Source organism: Homo sapiens, chromosome 16, assembly GCF_000001405.40.
Source record: "Homo sapiens chromosome 16, GRCh38.p14 Primary Assembly".
Taxonomy (NCBI): Eukaryota; Metazoa; Chordata; class Mammalia; order Primates; family Hominidae; genus Homo; species Homo sapiens.
In genome coordinates this window covers 81,663,368-81,680,196 of record NC_000016.10, presented here as the reverse complement: position 1 = coordinate 81,680,196, position 16,829 = coordinate 81,663,368, and the positions used below count along the sequence as shown (strand labels likewise).

The following is a 16,829-nucleotide window of genomic DNA, read 5'->3' as shown; positions in this document are numbered from 1 at the left end:
ACACAGACAACACCCCAGGCACCGGGCTTCCGAGTGGCCTCCCTGCAGGCTGAGGGCCCCGGGAGCCCTGGCTCTAGACAGGCACCATGCATTGGTTAAATATGACAACACAGCCATACCCCGAACCCCTCCGAAAGGTCCAGCAACCACATGCAGCTGCATCTGAAAATGCCTGTCTCTGGATTCAAAACTCCTGAGAGTGGGGCAGAGCTTGTTCCGAAGGAAGGAGTTTGTGGAGCGAGAAAGGGGGAGGTGTCTGCTGAGTGTCTGCAGACCTGAGCTGGTCTGTGGAACCACATGGCTCTGTGGGGGGCAGAAGGGAACAGTCAATGAGATCCCTCAAACTGGGGCTCCCAGAACCAGGTGCTCACGGGTTTGAGATGTGTCAGGTGGAGCGTGTGGATGGCAAGGCTGGAGAGACCCTTAGGGGTCAAGGATTAAGAACTGTACTCCCCTCCACCCTAGAGTCACAGAGTTGAGGTTCAGGGACGGGGAGGGACAGGCACAGAAGGAGCCAGCTCAGAAGCCACACCACCCAGAGCAGCCCCGGGTCCACGGGTCTCCTACACCCACACCCAGGCACACACAACACCAATGTGCACACATAGACACCCAGGCACACGGCACAAATACGCACAGCCACATACCCAAGACAGACTCACACACTCCTGCACATGACCCGTCACTCACTCAGACACATGCATATGCACAGATACTCACACCCCAAAGACACACGGCATGCATGGCTCACACAACACACACATACATGGGCTCATGCACATACCTGCAAACATACAGAGAAACACACATGCTCTCTAACCCTACAGCACAAATGGTTACACCCACATGCATGCAGCCACAGCCACTAGTGCACAAAACTAGCCCAAGTGCCTAGACACACCCACTGCTGTGCATTTAACACACACACACACACACACACACATCCCTACAGAGAAATCCACAGGCATGCCCACACCCATCTCTCCTATAAACACACACACTCGGCAGACCACGTGTGCTGTCGCACCCACATCCACCCATGGCCGTTCAGGCACACAAAGACACTCACAAGCTCTAAGGATCCCACACACCCAACACAGTAGAGATGTCCACACACTCAAAGACACACTTGGGCACCCCTGTGCTCCTGCACACCCTGGCAGATGTATCCAGATCCTCACACACACACACAAACTCATGTAGACATATGTACACATGTATGCTTGGGCATGCACCTTGCACATGTGCCCAGGCACTCAAGCATACAGGTACAAAGCCATGCATGCACCCCACGTGTGTATATACACACACCATATGCTCACAGATACACAACCAGAGCCACATGTGCCTCACCCACTTGTACATATGCACCCTGTATGCCTGTACTCACAGCCACACTTGTGCTTATGCACACTCTTGCACACACCAGCTCGTGTGCACTCACACACAAGCCACTCTACCATGCCCGGCCCTGCGTAGCTCGAACCAACAAACACAGCCGCACCCAGCAGCAAAGCCCAGTCTCCTCCCACCGGCCCCGGGGGCGGGCACGCGGGGGGGGCACTCACAGCAGCTTGAGGATTTCCACGTAGCAGCCGAGCGTGCGGTCGGCCTGGGGGCCCAGCTCGATGCTCATGGTGCTGCAGGCGGGGCTGACCATGAGGCAGTCGATGAGGTTGGGCTCGCTGTCGTTGCCTGCGCTGGCCGTCAGCGCCGGCTTGGCAGTGCTGGTGCGTTCCACCTCCACGTGGATCTCACTGGAGGCCACGACCACCGACTTGAGCCGGGCCTCAGACAGCGTGGCTTCCTGAGACACCAGGTCCGGGCTGGGGTGCAGAAGGCGCAGAGGTAAAGTGGGCTTCCGGTCGCACGGCTGCTGGCAGCCGTTCCGGATTTCCTTCAGGCTTGGGGAATTGTCGCGGCTGGGGGAAGAGGCGGGAGAGGGCACATGAGTACAGGCACCGTTCATGATGCACCATGACCCATCAGACTAAAGGCCTCCCTGAATCCCAGGATGAGGCCAAAATGTAATACTATCATCATTCCTGTGCTACAAATGAGGAAACTGAGGCTCAGCCTGGGTGCACGGCTTGCCCAAGGTCTAGACAGGAAGAGGTGGGGATGGCAGCCCAACCCAGGTTGCCTGTCTCTACAGCCCATGCTATCACCCCAGCACATAACAGGTGCTCAAAAAATATTTGCTGACCGACTGAGTGGATGCTGATCTTCACGTGACAGCCATAAGGCTCTTGGCATTCTCCTCCACCAAAATGCCACTGGCCACTTTCTTGATAAGCCAATGGGATCTACTGTTTTGCTTTTAGTAGCTTCCTGCAGTCTAACTGCCCTCCAATCCCTGACCTCATGCCACAATGTCCTCCAGGACTCTGCTCTCCTGCCCCCAAACCCAGCCAAGTGAGCAAGCTCAGTATCTGCCCTTCTGTCTGCGGAACCCCCACTCCTCCTGGGTAACCCTCCAGGCACAGCATCTTTAACTGCCCAGAGGAACAGAAGCCTGCACAAGGTGTTAACACATGTTAACCCAGAAAGGGGCTCTATGGCATTATTAATCTCACATTTGTTAGGCAAACACTGGGCAAACAAGATGAAATTAGGCCTCTTAATGGCAGGACTTGTCAGAGCCTTGACCTGGTTAAAGCCCCTCCTCTGACTGCTTCCCAACGTGCCCAGTTGCCTGGGAGGTGCATTATAAGGGACAGTAGTACCATCAACGGGTTCCTCTGCTGGTGCCCATGGGCCGGCAAGGTGCTAAGTGCAGTCACACAGATGCTCAAACACATCACTGAACAGTGATTCCGACCGTCTCTGTGCCACAGGTGAGGAAAGACGGTCTCAGAAGTTAAATGATCTACCCCTAATTAAACAGCCCATGAGTCGACGGAGATGGGATTTGAAGCCAGATCTCCTGGACCCCAAAGCCCAGGATCCTCCTAACTAGGTTGGCTTCCAAGGTCCCCTAAGAGCTGTGCAGGTCCCCTCCTCCAGGAAGTCTTCCTTGATTTCTTCCTGCTACTCTTGCCCTTCCTACCCTCGAACTCCTCCTAAACCAAAGCTCTCCACCCCTGGCGGGACACCAGGATCCCCTGGGTACACTTCCAAACATCCCAAAGCCCAGTTAGACAGGAATCTCCAGGATGCGACCTGGACATGAGTAATTTTTAAGGCTCCTCGTGTGTGGTCAAGGTTGAGATCCACTAATCCAAGACTTCGAGCACAACGGCACGATTGAAAACAGCTGCTTGTCTAGTCCTTCCCCACATGTGTCACATGCATGGGTCCTGTGCCTCTAAAGGGGCTCCCAGGCTTGAGGACAGGGCCACACAGCTGGCATTGTGTTTGGGGAATTGTTGCAGCTGGGGGAAGGGGTGGGAGGGGGCACGTGAATAGCCCCTCCAAGGGCTGTGTGCAGAACTTGAACCCCATGCACAGCAAGGGTCTGAATGTATCCAGCACATGCCAGGAACCAGGCCTGAGCTGAGCCCACCAAGGGTGTTTAATAAATACACTTTCAGCTTTGCTGGGGGAAATAAACAATCCATCGGCTAAAGTCCGAGAATTCTATCGTTGATAACAACTTGTGTGTGGTCTGTGATGGGGGGAGACCTAAATTCTCTGGTCCAGATCTGATTTGCTCCCCAAGTACTCAACACTGCATTTCTCTTTGTTTGCCGTTGCTGGGTTTTAAAAGTGGATTTTCAAGGCTGTTTGGCTCAGATTGGTGATTTTCAAGAGAGCCACGCTAACCTGGGTCAAGTTGTCTGTTCTTTTCAGTGTGAGTACATTGTGTACATTTGCCCACCGAGAGCACTGGGGACGGCCTGGAGGACATGACGGACTTTATCTTGAAGGGACTGGCTGAGGGGGGCGTCATGGACCTGAGCCCACGAAACGTGTTGGCAGCATCGTGCTTCTCTGGGTGATATCCAGGAAATGTATGGCATCAGCTGGAACCCAGGCTACTGTGGGCTCCGAGGGGGCTCAACACAGCTGAGCCAGGGCTGGCACGAGGCAGCAGGCACCATCTCACCCTCGCCACGCCTCCAACCTGGCATCTCCTTGCCACAGCCACCTAACCGTTCCCCAGGGTCACGCCTGCCCCCTACTCCATCCTCCTCACAGCAGCAGCCAGAGGGGAATGGAACTGAAATCCCATCACGTCCCTTCTCCACTTACAACCCACTGTGGACTCTCCAATGTTCCCAGGATAAAAGTTCTGCCACTGAAACCCAGGACAACCCTGCTACTTACAGAGTGATCCCCAGCCTGCAGCTTCGCCTGGGAGCTTGTTAGACAAGCAGAGTCTCAGGCCCCGCCCCAGACCTGCTGAATCCAAATCTGCATTTTAACTCCAACCCTAGAGAGTCCCAGGCACCAGGAGGTTTGAGAAGCTGGCTATTCATGGCCCAGCACTCTCTCCTCTCCAACTCCATCTTTTGCTTCCCTTTCCTCTCTCTGCTCTAGTCACACTGGATTTCCTTCAGCTCTTCCCCTGCAGGGACCTCCATATTCAGTGTGCAGCAGAATGACTTGTGGAGTTTGTTTAGAATGCAGACTCCTGGGCCATACCCCAGAAATGTTGCAGCCAGGAATCTATTTTAAAGCAGTCCAGGTGATTCTGAAGTAGTGGTTCAAGGACCCGTAGATACAAAAACATTGTACACGGGCATGGTGGCTCACCCCTGTAATCCCAGCACTTCTGGAGGCTAAGGGGGGCATTTCACTTGAGGCCAGGAGTTTGAGACCAGCCTGGCCAACATGGCGAAACCCCATCTCTACTAAAAATACAAAAAAAAAAAAAAAAAAAATTAGCCAGGTGTGGCAGTGCACACCTGTAATCCCAGCTACTTGGGTGGCTGAGGCATGAGAATTGCTTGAAGACAGGAGGCAGAGGTTGCAGTGAGCAGAGATTGCGCCACCGCACTCCAGCTTGGGTGACAGAGTGAGACTGTTTCCAAAAAAACCCAAAAACCAAAAACAAAAACACTGTGACGAATGGCACCTTCACCCATCACTGCCAGGCCTTTCCATGTGGTTCTCTCCCTGGGTCACCCTCTTCCTGCTTCTTGCCTGGAGAACAGCCAGGAGGTATTAACGTAAATATCACCTCCCCAACGCTCCTTCCAAAAACAGATGCCAGGGCCATCCTAATTAAATCAGAATGGCACTGGGAGGGTCCTGGGCACCCTTTTCTTTCTTTCTTTCTTTCTTTCTTTTTTTAAATTGACATATAACCCAAAGTACGCTGGTAAATGTCTAACAACCAACTCTCCAAAGAAAGAAGCCCTGATCTGGCTGGATGTGGTGGCTCACGCCTGTAATCCCAGTACTTTGGGAAGCCGAGGCGGGCAGATCACCTGAGGTCAGGAGTTCGAGACCAGCCTGGCCAACAAAGTAAAACCCCATCTCTACTAAAAATACAAAGATTAGCCAGGTGTGGTGGCCCACACCTATAATCTCAGCTACTCAGGAAGCTGAGGCAGGAGAATCGCTTGAACCCAGGAGGTGGAGGCTGTAGTGAGCCAAGATTGTGCCACTGCACTCCAGCCTGGGCGACAACAGCTAAGCTGTCTCAAAAAAAAAAGAAGCCCTGATCTGCAGTGTTTACCAATTTCTTTGGTGTAAATACTCACCACAGCTACTTCAAGCTATCAATATGATATCATTACAGAACTGGGAAGGGATGTGTTCCCAAATGTAACGTGTGAGCTGGCTCCTGCACACTCTGGGTATAACTTAAATACTGTAAGCCAGGCGCGGTGGCTCACGCCTGTAATCCCAGCACTTTGGGAGGCCAAGGTGGGTGGATCACGAGGTCAGGAGATCAAGACCATCCTGGCTAACATGGTGAAACCCCATTTCTACTAAAAATACAAAAGGGCAGGCCTGATACTACCCTCTGGCTTCCGTTTTCTCCTCTTTTTGCCTCACCGTGCTGTCAGCTCCAGAACATGCCCTTGGGAATGAGCAGCCTCCCATCTCCACATTCTGGCCCCTGGAGTCCCTGCACTTCCTTCTGATCAGGGAAGTGATTCAAGGTGGGACATGATCCCCTTTGAACATCGGGACCTGAGGCTGAGGGCATTAAAAGAGTCACCCTCTCTCATGCCCTGCTGCAAGAAAACAGCCCCTGATTTATCAAATGCCTTTTCCTGCCCCTCCGAAGAACTCAGCAGTACGGCATTTGTTTGAGAAATCCCCCCTGTACAGGTTTTCAGCGACTCAGAATGCTCTACTGCCTTCATTTTGAGAAAAGACTGAAATACCCTCCTGCTGTATCCCCAGCTCTGGTGGGGTCTGGACTCATGTTGGTCTCCTTGGAGTTGTGTAGTGTACCACCTGAACAACTGGGTGGCTGCAGCAGAGACCACTGTGTTCTGCATGTCACATCCTCTCCAATGACACCAGAGGTCACTGCAGAAAGTTCCCCATAAACTAATGGCATCTGCATTAGTCTGCATCCCGGGAGCAGTTCTCAGCCAGCGAGGGATGGGAGCTGGTGAGTGACTATCCCAGCACCGCCAGCCTCGGCGGAGCAACTCTCAGCAGAGCAACTCTCAGTGTGTTACGCACGGCCTCCTGGGGCACAGTGGGAGTGCATGCCAGCTGCCTGAAGTGGTCACCTGCTTGCTTGCTTTCTTATTTATTTATTTATTTATTTTTGAGAAGGAGTCTCACTCTGTTGCACAGGCTGGAGTGCAGTGGTGTGATCTTGGCTCACTGCAACCTCTGCCTCCCAGGTTCAAGCTATTCTCCCGCCTCAGCCTCCTGAGTAGCTGAGTACAGTCATGTACCACCATGCCCGGCTAATTTTTATATTTTTTTAGTAGAGACGGGGTTTCACTATGTTGGCCAGGCTGGTCTCCAACTCCTAACCTCAAGTGATCTGCCCGCCTTGGCCTTCCAAACTGCTGGGATTACAGGTGTGAGCTACTGCGCCCAGCCTCACCTGCTTATTAATTCATACTTCACTGATGTCCTCCCTTCCCTGTCCCCCAGTGTTTCCTGGGACCACCTTCCTAGGAAGCCACTTCCACCCAAATCCTGGTCTTGGAGTTTCCTTTTGGAGGCTCCAAAGCCAGGTCGTGGCCCTGCCCTGCCACCTCTTCCGGTCACTTGCTACCCCACCACTCGGTTTTATTGCTCTCACGGTTTTTCTTACCCTCTGACATGATCTTGCACATTTACTTGTACATGATCTCTTCCTGGTAGAATGGAAGCCCCAAGAGAGCAGGGAATTTGTGATCTTGCTCGCTCTCCAGCACTGAAATTGTGTCAAGCACACAGCAGGCGCTCAAGAAAAACAGATGCAATGGCTCATGCCTGTAACCTCAGCATTCTGGGAGGTCCAAATGGGAAGACTGCTTAAGCCCAGGAGTTTGAGACTAGCCTGGGTAACACAGCAAGATCCTGTCTTTACAAAAAAATTTTAAATATTAGCCATGAGTGGTGGCATGTGCCTGTGGTCCTAGCTACTCGGGAGGCTGAGGTGGGAGGACGGCTTGAGCCCAGGAGTTTGAGGCTGCAGTGAGCTATGACTGCACCACTGTATTGCCGCACAACCTAAGTGACAGGGTGAGACCCTGTCTCAAAAAAATAAAATAAAACCATGCAAATCATGGGCAAAAGCCTGTGTTCTCAAAGCCAAGACTAGACAGGATAAACCTTACTGTCAACCCTTGTCCCCAACACACGGGCACATATTCACACCTCCATGTGCACACACGTACACACAGTCACATGTATGTGTACAGTGCACACATGCATTTGCATACCCATGTGCACACATTCACACACACACACCAGTGTGTCATACCTCTCCAGTGGTGAGAAATCTTCAGCATAAAACATCTGTCCCTAAAGCCAAGCAGCTCTAACAGCCTTGCAGTTGCGGTGCTGATTCAGTGCTTGCTTTTTCAGCAGCATCCCTGGCTTCTGGGCCCATGAATCAATGTGCCCAGGGGAACTGGCAAACACACCATGAGGTCTGCCCAGTAAACAGCCACTCCACCTCTCTGGCCTGGTCAGTTCTTGGTGACTTTGCCCATGATGGGGGTGGCAGTTTGCCCCTCCCAAGCCCTCTGGGTGGCGGTGGTTCAGCAACTGACCTGTTGATGAACTCTTCATAGCAGGAGTAGATGGCAGCCAGGCACACGGCCACCAGGTTGGGCAGGACCCGGGGGTGGGGGCAGTGCCCTGTGGGGCCGTGCATGCTGGAAAAAAGCAGAGGGCTGGGGTGAGAAGCCTGCAGGAGTGGGGCCCATGGACAGGGTAAGGGGGGAAAGGGAGGGCGTTGCTCAGGCACGGGGCTGCCCGCTCTGCCAGCGCCACTTGGGGGGCTCTGAGAGCCTTCACTGTGCAATTGGTGGCACCAGGATTTGGGCCCCGGCTGTGCCACGTGCAGGCAGCAGAAGGCAAAGCTCCTGGCTGTGGACTCCGGATCCAGGGTTCCCGGGTTCAAACCCCTGAGTGGCCTTGGAAACCTCCTAAACTCTCCACCCTGTTTCTGCAGCGATAAAATGAGGATAGCAGCCCCCTCCTCAGTTGGGGTACAGTTAGGACCAAATTTTCTAATTCACAGAGAGACCTAGCAAATGGTGGCCATACGTCCTGGGACAGTCATGCTCACACCTGGTGGTTCAGGAATAATTAATTATTCCTAACACCTCATTTTACTTTCAAACATATCCTGCTTTGGAAGAAAAATGATGAGGGTCATTTTGGCTTAGCATAGAGTCACCAACATAGTTACTAAGTCCTCAATAAGTGCCACTAATTATTACTTGTCTTGGCTATTTTGGTGGTCCTGAGGATAACACCTGTACCATTTCTGGGAAGCTGTCATCGAGGCTGCTGTCACTAAGAATGCCCTAACCTGACAAGATTTTGCAAACCACAACTGGGTGGTGTCACCACGGTTCTGGCATGAGGGCATGTCACAAAGCCAACCTCAAACGACTTCGTGAGTTCCAAGTGGGCATATTTAGGAAATACGTAGCTTCAGAACTTGTTTAAATGGGTTACTGTGATTTTCTTAAAACATGAGAAGAGTCTGGGGGCAGCAGTTCACGCCTATAATCCCAGCACTTTGGGAGGCCGAAGCAGGTGGATCACCTGAGGTCAGGAGTTCAAGACTAGCCTGGCCAACATGTTGAAACCCCATCTCTACTAAAAATACAAAAATTAGCCAGGAGTCGTAACGTGTGCCTGTAATCCCAGCTACTTGGGAGGCTGAGGCAGGAGAATTGCTTGAACCCGGGAGCCGGAGGTTGCAGTAAGCCGAGACTGAGCCACTGCACTCCAGCCTGGGTGACAGAGCGAGACTCCATCTCAAAACAAACAAACAAACAAAAGAGATGAGAAGAACAAGAATGATGACACCTCGGCCTGACACGAGACTTCCGCAGCATTCTCCATGTGTTGTGTCTCCTACTCACTGGAGCATCACACTAACTGGGCGAGGGATACTATGGTTCTTGTGTGACAGATGAGGAAACTGGAGCACCGAGAGAAAATTTAAAATTAAACAAAGCAAAAGCAACCACCCCCCCCCCCCCCAAAAAAAACCCAAAACACCAACCCCAAGAACCAAAAGTGAGTAAGAGCAAGAACATTTGGCTTCCTCTTGGTTATGTTTATGGGGTGATTGTTCAAGCACCCGACGATGACGCTCTGGGACCACCAGGGGTGGGACAGAGTCCTAAACATGTGGCACCTACAGCCTGAGGGGTCGTGGGACCTGAGGAAACAGCAGTGTTGCTGAGGTCCAGTGTGTCCGAGTTCCTATCGGGCACCGTGCAGTAGGCTAGGGGCTTCCTCATAGAGGGAGTCTTCATTTAATTACACGACAGCCCCCCGTGGATATCTGAGTAAACAGGATCCGAGAGGAAAGTGGCTCCTAGGCCACAGAGGGACGTCGCGCCGGAGACCCACCTCTGAATGAACTTCTTCACCACTTCCATCCCCGCGTTGAGCTCGTTCAAGGCAAGGATGTACTCCTGAGTAAACAGCCTCAGTCGCGGGCACTTCCCAAAGTCCTGTGGAGACAGCAGAGGACAGGAGTCGGGACGGTGCTAGGCAGGGCAGGAGCCCAGGGCAGCCAGGACACCAGAAAGAAGGGCGGGACCGAGCTCTGCCTGGAGCTGTTGATGTGGAAGGCAATGGGGAGACACCAACCCTCTGGAAAGCACAGGTGGCGTCTACTTCAAAGAATAGCACTGCGACACCCGCGCTTCCACTCTGAAGGACCATCTGATGAGCAGGTGCTTCTGGCTGTAGAGAAAGCCACCCTCAAAAGGCACTTGTGAGACAAATGAGACGAGAAAGAGAAAAGAGAGCCAGAAAGGCTGGGGGGACAAGAGAGGGTGCTTCCGAGGGGAATGTGGAGTGTGGAAGGAGGTGTGTGAGAGGTGGGTGTGGAAGGAGAAGAGAGGTGGGTGTGGAAGGAGGTGAGTGTGAGGTGGGTATGGGAGGAGGTGAATGTGAGGTGGGTGTGGAAGGAGGTGAGTGTGAGGTGGGTGTGGAAGGTGTGAGGTGGGTGTGGAAGGAGGTGAGAGGTTGGTGCGGAAGGAGGTGAGAGGTGGGTGTGGAAGGAGGTGAGAGGTGGGTGTGGAAGGAAGTATGAAGTGGGTGTGGAAGGAGGTGAGTGTGAGAGGTGGGTGTGGAGGTGTGAGGTGGATGTGGAAGGAGGTGAGAGAGGTGGGTGTGGAAGGTGAGAGGTGGATGTGGAAGGAGGTGAGAGGGGTGTGGAAGGAGGTATGAAGTGGGTGTGGAAGGAGGTGAGTGTGAGAGGTGGGTGTGGAAGGTGAGGTGGGTGTGGAAGGAGGTGAGAGGGGTGTGGAAGGAGGTATGAAGTGGGTGTGGAAGGAGGTGAGTGTGAGAGGTGGGTGTGGAGGTGTGAGGTGGATGTGGAAGGAGGTGAGTGTGAGAGGTGGGTGTGGAGGTGTGAGGTGGATGTGGAAGGTGAGTGTGAGAGATGGGTGTGGAAGGTGAGAGGTGGGTGTGGAAGGAGGTGAGAGGGGTGTGGAAGGAGGTATGAAGTGGGTGTGGAAGGAGGTGAGTGTGAGAGGTGGGTGTGGAGGTGTGAGGTGGATGTGGAAGGAGGTGAGTGTGAGAGGTGGGTGTGGAAGGAGGAGAGTGTGGTGGGTGTGGAAGGAGGAGTGTGAGGTGGGTGTGGAAGGAGGAGAGTGTGAGGTGGGTGTGGAAGGAGTGTGAGGTGGGTGTGGAAGGTGTGAGGTGGGTGTGGAAGGCCGTGAGTGTGAGGTGGGTGTGGAAGGTGTGAGGTGGGTACGGAAGGCAATGAGTGTGAGGTGGGTGTGGAAGGCAGTGAGTGTGAGGTGGGTGTGGAAGGCAGTGAGTGTGAGGTGGGTGTGAATGGATGTGTGTTTGTGACAGGCTGCTGTGGACAGAGGCATACATGTGCAATGAGGAGTTGGGCACCAGGCATTAGTGGCAGGGGAGGCACTGGCACGTGTCACTATGATGAGGGGACAGGGACACCACCCTGGTTGGAGGCCCCATCTGTGCCACGCTAGGGAAAGCAGCGCCTGCACCAGGCCCCCGGAACTAAAGTGTCCACTGCGGGGCTCTGTCAAGGGGCCAGGTCAAGGACACAGGGACACTGCCTGTGCCGGCTGAGGGCCATATGTGGTGGCTGCCGTGCTCGGCCTCTTCCAGGTGTCAGGAAGACAGGGGCCACGGCACAGAGAGCTCTGCCAGGAGGCAGGAAGTCGGCGCCCAGCCCAGTGGGGGGCTTGGGGCTTGCCAGGAGCAGAACAGAGGTGCAGGAGAGAGGCACGGGCCGGACAGGGGCCTGTGAATCTGGCCGCCGCATTCATTCCCAGGGTCGTGGCCAGGGCTGCGGAGGTGCTGGGACTGCCAGCCCCTCGGGCTGTGTCTGGCCACCCAGGAGCGGCACCGTCCTGCCCCCGACCCTCCATAAACGTGATGTGGCTGACCACGGAGGGGAGCCTGGAGTCTCCAGACCTGTCCCTCCGTACCCATCTCAGTGGAACCCATTTTTTAAGGAGAGCAGCCTGCATCAGGACTTCAAGCTGTAGAACAGAAATAGAGACCCCCCTCAGGTCTAACTGACCCCGAAGCTGGCATGAAAGCTCTGAGTGGAACCCGTTCCTACCACTCCCTCCCGCAGGCTCCCAGGAGAGAGTTTCTAGAGCCGCTGGGGGCTTCTTCATGTGGAGTCAAAGGGGTCCTTTGTGAGAGACAGTGCAGGGGGAGCTTTCACTCGTCTGCCTGCTAGGACTGTCCTGCTACATAAAGAGGGAGGCAGAGCCCCCGGAGCAAGTTCAGAAAAATGCACGCACTGGCATGAGCACAAACACACACACACACACACACACACACACACACACACACACACTCTCTCTCTCTCTCTCTCTCTCTCTCTCTCTCTTTCTCTCCCTCCCTCCCTCCCTCCTGGGTTAGAAAATGAGGCCTCTGCCTCACAAGTATTTAATCTGGCTTTGGGCTGCCACGTCTGTCTCTGGGCCTCACTGACCCCACTATGGAATGAGGGTCCACAGAAGTGATCTCTAGCCCCCTTCCACCACGAGGGTTTTATGATTTTGTAAACTGCTTCAACAGAGACTTAAGGTAACTGTCATCTTAGCTATTAGATTTTTGAATAATCAAGGTCATTTCCATGGAAATAAACATTTACAGAGGGATCCAGCAGCCTCTGAAAAATACGCTCCCCTTGGAAAACTGGAGGTTAGGTTACTTGACGGTCCACTGGGGACCACAGCCGTGTCTTCTCGCCTCCTTTGCCACAAGAACACTCCGAGTGGCGTGGGGGCACAGAGATACATGGTCATTCTTCAGAACGCAGTTTGGCGAATTATTTGGACTGAATCTCCAGAGGAACATACTAAAGAACCGCTTCCTTTTGTTTCTAGTTTTTATTTCAGTCTAGTAAAGAACATTCTTTGAGACTCTCAAAGCTTCAGTTTGCTCATCCGTGAAAGGGAGCACATAACATATTTGCAAGAGATGCACCCAGAATGGGGGAGCCCCCAAATCCCAGAACAGCACCGTGGCTACGTTCCCCCCGTTTCCTAAATGTCTGAGTGCCTCCTTAAGGAGAAACACTGCATTTGGGGTGAAGAGCAGTCACTGTTCATGCCACCCCAACAGGCTCATGGCTTAGGCAGGCTAGGTACGCTCCTTAGCCAGAGACATGACCCCCCCCCCACACCAGCTGAGAGCCCCAGCTCCACAACGGTGCTGCTGACCCGTGCCACTCATTAAGCATCAGGGCGCATTCAGTGAGTAAATGTCAAAGCTCTCTCTCGCCCACCGCCTGTGTTGTTAGGATTCCATGAGGTCAGGTCTTCCTGTGCCTGGCATGGCCATAATCACTGTTTAATACAGTCTGTTCTTCTACACGAGAGGCGGATCCTCCTCGGTCCTCCCAGCAGTTCTCCTCTGCCGCCGCCGCTCATGGTGTGTAATTAGGAGGCGCCAAGAGCAAGGTGGGATCTGGGTGCGTTAAAGCATCCCCAGACACCTGGGATCACTTAGGGGGTACTCGTTACAAGTGAGGCGAGGACTCATGGCTGAGGGTCCCTACTCTCTGCCAGACTGCCACAGATACTATAAATTCTGGGTCTGCCCAGAGCGGTTCTGATTTTTATAGAGAAAATTAATACATGGTCAACACTCCAGGCCCATAAAACTAACCAAATACAAGAAAGGCGTTGTATGGTGAAGCCCCGAGAGCCTGTCTGAATTATGAATTTTTTCCCTTTGAAGTCAGATGTCCTCAAAGAACCCTTATGAAACGGTTTATTGACTAACATGGAGTATGCAAAAATGTTTATGTGCCTGAAGAGGCATTCCTCTGCCAAGTATGTCCCGGGGGTGTGGCTCTGCCATTGACAAGTTAAGGTCCTTCGCAAGAAAACCTGAAGAACCTTTGCTCTGAACTCCAGCATGGCACAGCCCACTCCATACACTACACCCGTAGTGATTTTAAAGTTAACAAACAGGGCACCTTTCCTTCTAGCTGGCCAAAGCCAGAAAGAGCTCCTCCTTGAAACTATGAGCGCCCAAATTAAGGCAGAAACCCCGCCCCATCCCCCAGTGGGGAGTCTCCTTGTCCTGGAGAAAGAACTGCACAGGGTGTCCCTATCCCCTGTGTTCTGAAAACAAGAAATGAATTTACCCCAAATCTAGGAGGGGCTCAGAAATCAGCAACAATTCATTTACAGTTTGCAATCGCTTAGGGTAGAGAATGGTACATAGCATTCATTATGGTACTAACACGATTTCAGTTGGTAGTGGTGGCCTGGAATGCAGGAGGGGAAAGAGTGTGATGCTGTCTCTGGCTCTACAGAAAGAGTGCTATAATTGATTAATGATGTCTGCCATGAGCATGGAAGGGGTAGAGGAGCACATGTGTCATGCACTTCCATTCCTGACTGGGGAAGGGGCTGTAGGTGATATACTATTCTTCAGGGGCATGGTGTGGAGACAGGCAAGCTACATCACAAGTGAAATGATGTGTGGTTACCCTTTTTCAGTTGTTTTCACGTGCTCCAGGAGACTCTAAAATCTAACGTGGTGGCTGGCTCAGTACAACATGTGATTGGGAATGGGCCCTGGCCTCAGGCTGCCTGCTCCTTAGCTCCCACCAGGACCACCCACAGCTGCTCATCAGACCCTGCCTATCCCGTCCCACCTCTCTGGGTCCCAGATTCCTCCTATGCACAGGTGTCATGGGAATGGCATGAGGGTTAATAACACAATACACTCAAAGAGCACCACACTCTTGACTCCAAGAAAGTGTTCAATAAGCATCTGCAAAAAGATGTTATTCTTATTCCTACCTGTGGTCCCTGTGGCCACTTAGTGGACCTAGCTAAGCCTCAGTTTCCTCGTGACATACAGGGCAAATAATGGCATTTGCTGCTGTCCCTGGAATGATGAGGGAACACCAAGGGGCCACACAGATTACAAGCGCCCCACCCGCTCTAAGTGTGCAATTAAATCCTGCTTTTGTATTTAAAAAAAAAAATTAAAGGCCAAGCTTTATTCAGATTTCCTCAGTTTTCCCTTCATGTCCCTTTTCTGTTCTGGGATCCCATGGAGAGCCCCAAATGACATTTAGTCGTTACGCCCCCGTAGACTCCTCTGAGCTGTGACAGTTTCTTAGAATCTCCTTGTTTTTGATGACCTTGACCGTGGGGAGTACTGGCCAGGTACTTTGTAGACTGTCCCCTTGTTGGGATTTGTCTGATGTTTTTCTCATGATTGGAATGGGGTGATGGGTTACTGGGAGGAAGACCATAGAGGTCAAGTGTCGTTTTTATACGTCCTATGAAGGGAATATTCTGTCTAACTGGCTTGTTGTTGTCGATGTTGACCTTGATCACCTGGCTGAGGCTGAGTGTGTCTGGTTTCTCCACTGCAAGGCTACTCCTGCCCCCTTCCATACAGTGCTCTCTGGAAGGACCTCGCTGTGCGCAGCACACACTAAAGGAGTGCAAAGTCGCGCTCTGGGTCCTTGAGGGCAGGGCATCTACAGACATTATTTGGGCCTATTCTTCCCGGGAGGCTTTCCTCTTCTCCTCCAGCTGCGGTATTTTTGTAATTCTTAGGAACTGCAAAAAGATTCTTCCTGTTGCCGTAATGGAGGACAAGCTGTACAAAACCCCCAAAAGTCCTTAACCAGAATCTCAACCCCAGTTCCTGGCTGTCACGCTGGGCCAACCACATTCCCCAAATCTGTGCCAACGCAAAAGGCCAGGGAGGCGCGCGGGGCCTCATGTTCTGGGCGCTGGGGTCTGGGTGTTGGGGCAGGGTGACTCACCATGTTATGCTTGAGGATTCGCTGCACCACGGGGGTGAACACCTCGATGACCACCATGGACCGGGGCCGCTCTCTGCAGTGCTGGGGACAGAGTGGGGTACAGTTACTGCGGCCCTAAGAATGTTCTGAACACAGCCCGTGGCTGCTAGCAGGGCTGGGGACAGTCAGCCCAGCTGTGGGTGCCTGGGTTCCCTTGATGAACACGGCTGCACTGCTTTCTAAAAATGAGTTTATTTTGGAGGGGGGCCAGTTCTAGGTTCAGAGCAGAACGGAGAGGAAGGTAGAGACCTTTCCCAGATACCCCCTGCCCCCGGCACGCACAGCCTCCCCAACGATCACTGCACATGCTCCTTTTAAGGATGGGGTGGGGGCGTTCCAGGCGGCCCTGAAATGTACCCTGGGCACGCAGGCCAGCAGGCATGTGGGGCACTGGAAAAGGAATCCTGGTGGAGAGACAGGGCCCAAGAGGACAACACAATCTTGTTTCCCTTTCCTGTCCCCTGATGCACACACAGAGGACTCCCTGGGCAGGGGGTAAAGTGCACCACGGTCCCCTTTCCTCCCAGGTGCCTGCATTTCTACCCCACAAGCTGGTCTCATTGGTGGACACAGCCCTTGCCTCCCCAAAGGACCGTGCGGTGTAACAAATGTAGCACGTATACCCTGTGGGATATTTGTTACAATGGAGAACCCCACACTGACACATCATTGTTACCCAGAGTCCACAGTTGACTTTAGGGTTCACTCTTGGTGCTGTGCGCTCTGGGTGTTTAGACAAATGTCTAATGTCCTGGAGCCACCAATGTAATATCATAGGAAGTCGTTTCACGCCCTAAAAATCCTCTGTGCTCAGCCAATTCGTCCCTCCCTCTCCCCAACCCCTGGCAACCACCGATCATTTTACTTTCTCCATAGTTTTGCTTTTTTCAGAATGTCCTGTAGTTGGAATCGTGCAGTGTGCAGCCTTTTCAGATGGGCTCCT

At 52.9% G+C, this 16,829-nt stretch overlaps 1 protein-coding gene and 1 long non-coding RNA gene across 12 annotated transcripts in view; both read right to left on the bottom strand.

Moving 5' to 3' along the window:
- CMIP (c-Maf inducing protein) overlaps positions 1-16,829 on the bottom strand; it is a 266,955-nt gene that overhangs the window by 31,566 nt on the left and 218,560 nt on the right. For all 11 annotated transcript variants that reach the window (XM_047434717.1, NM_198390.3, XM_011523352.2 and 8 more), the window contains 4 exons: positions 15,848-15,928; positions 9,952-10,055; positions 8,127-8,231; positions 1,569-1,922 (listed from right to left, as the gene is read on the bottom strand). In XM_047434717.1, the coding sequence (XP_047290673.1) occupies positions 1,569-1,922; positions 8,127-8,231; positions 9,952-10,055; positions 15,848-15,928 (644 nt within the window). The remainder of the gene's footprint in view (positions 1-1,568; positions 1,923-8,126; positions 8,232-9,951; positions 10,056-15,847; positions 15,929-16,829) is intronic.
- On the bottom strand, positions 12,921-14,843 carry LOC100129617 (uncharacterized). Its single transcript, NR_045112.1, has one exon. It is a non-coding gene; the product is annotated as an uncharacterized LOC100129617 (long non-coding RNA).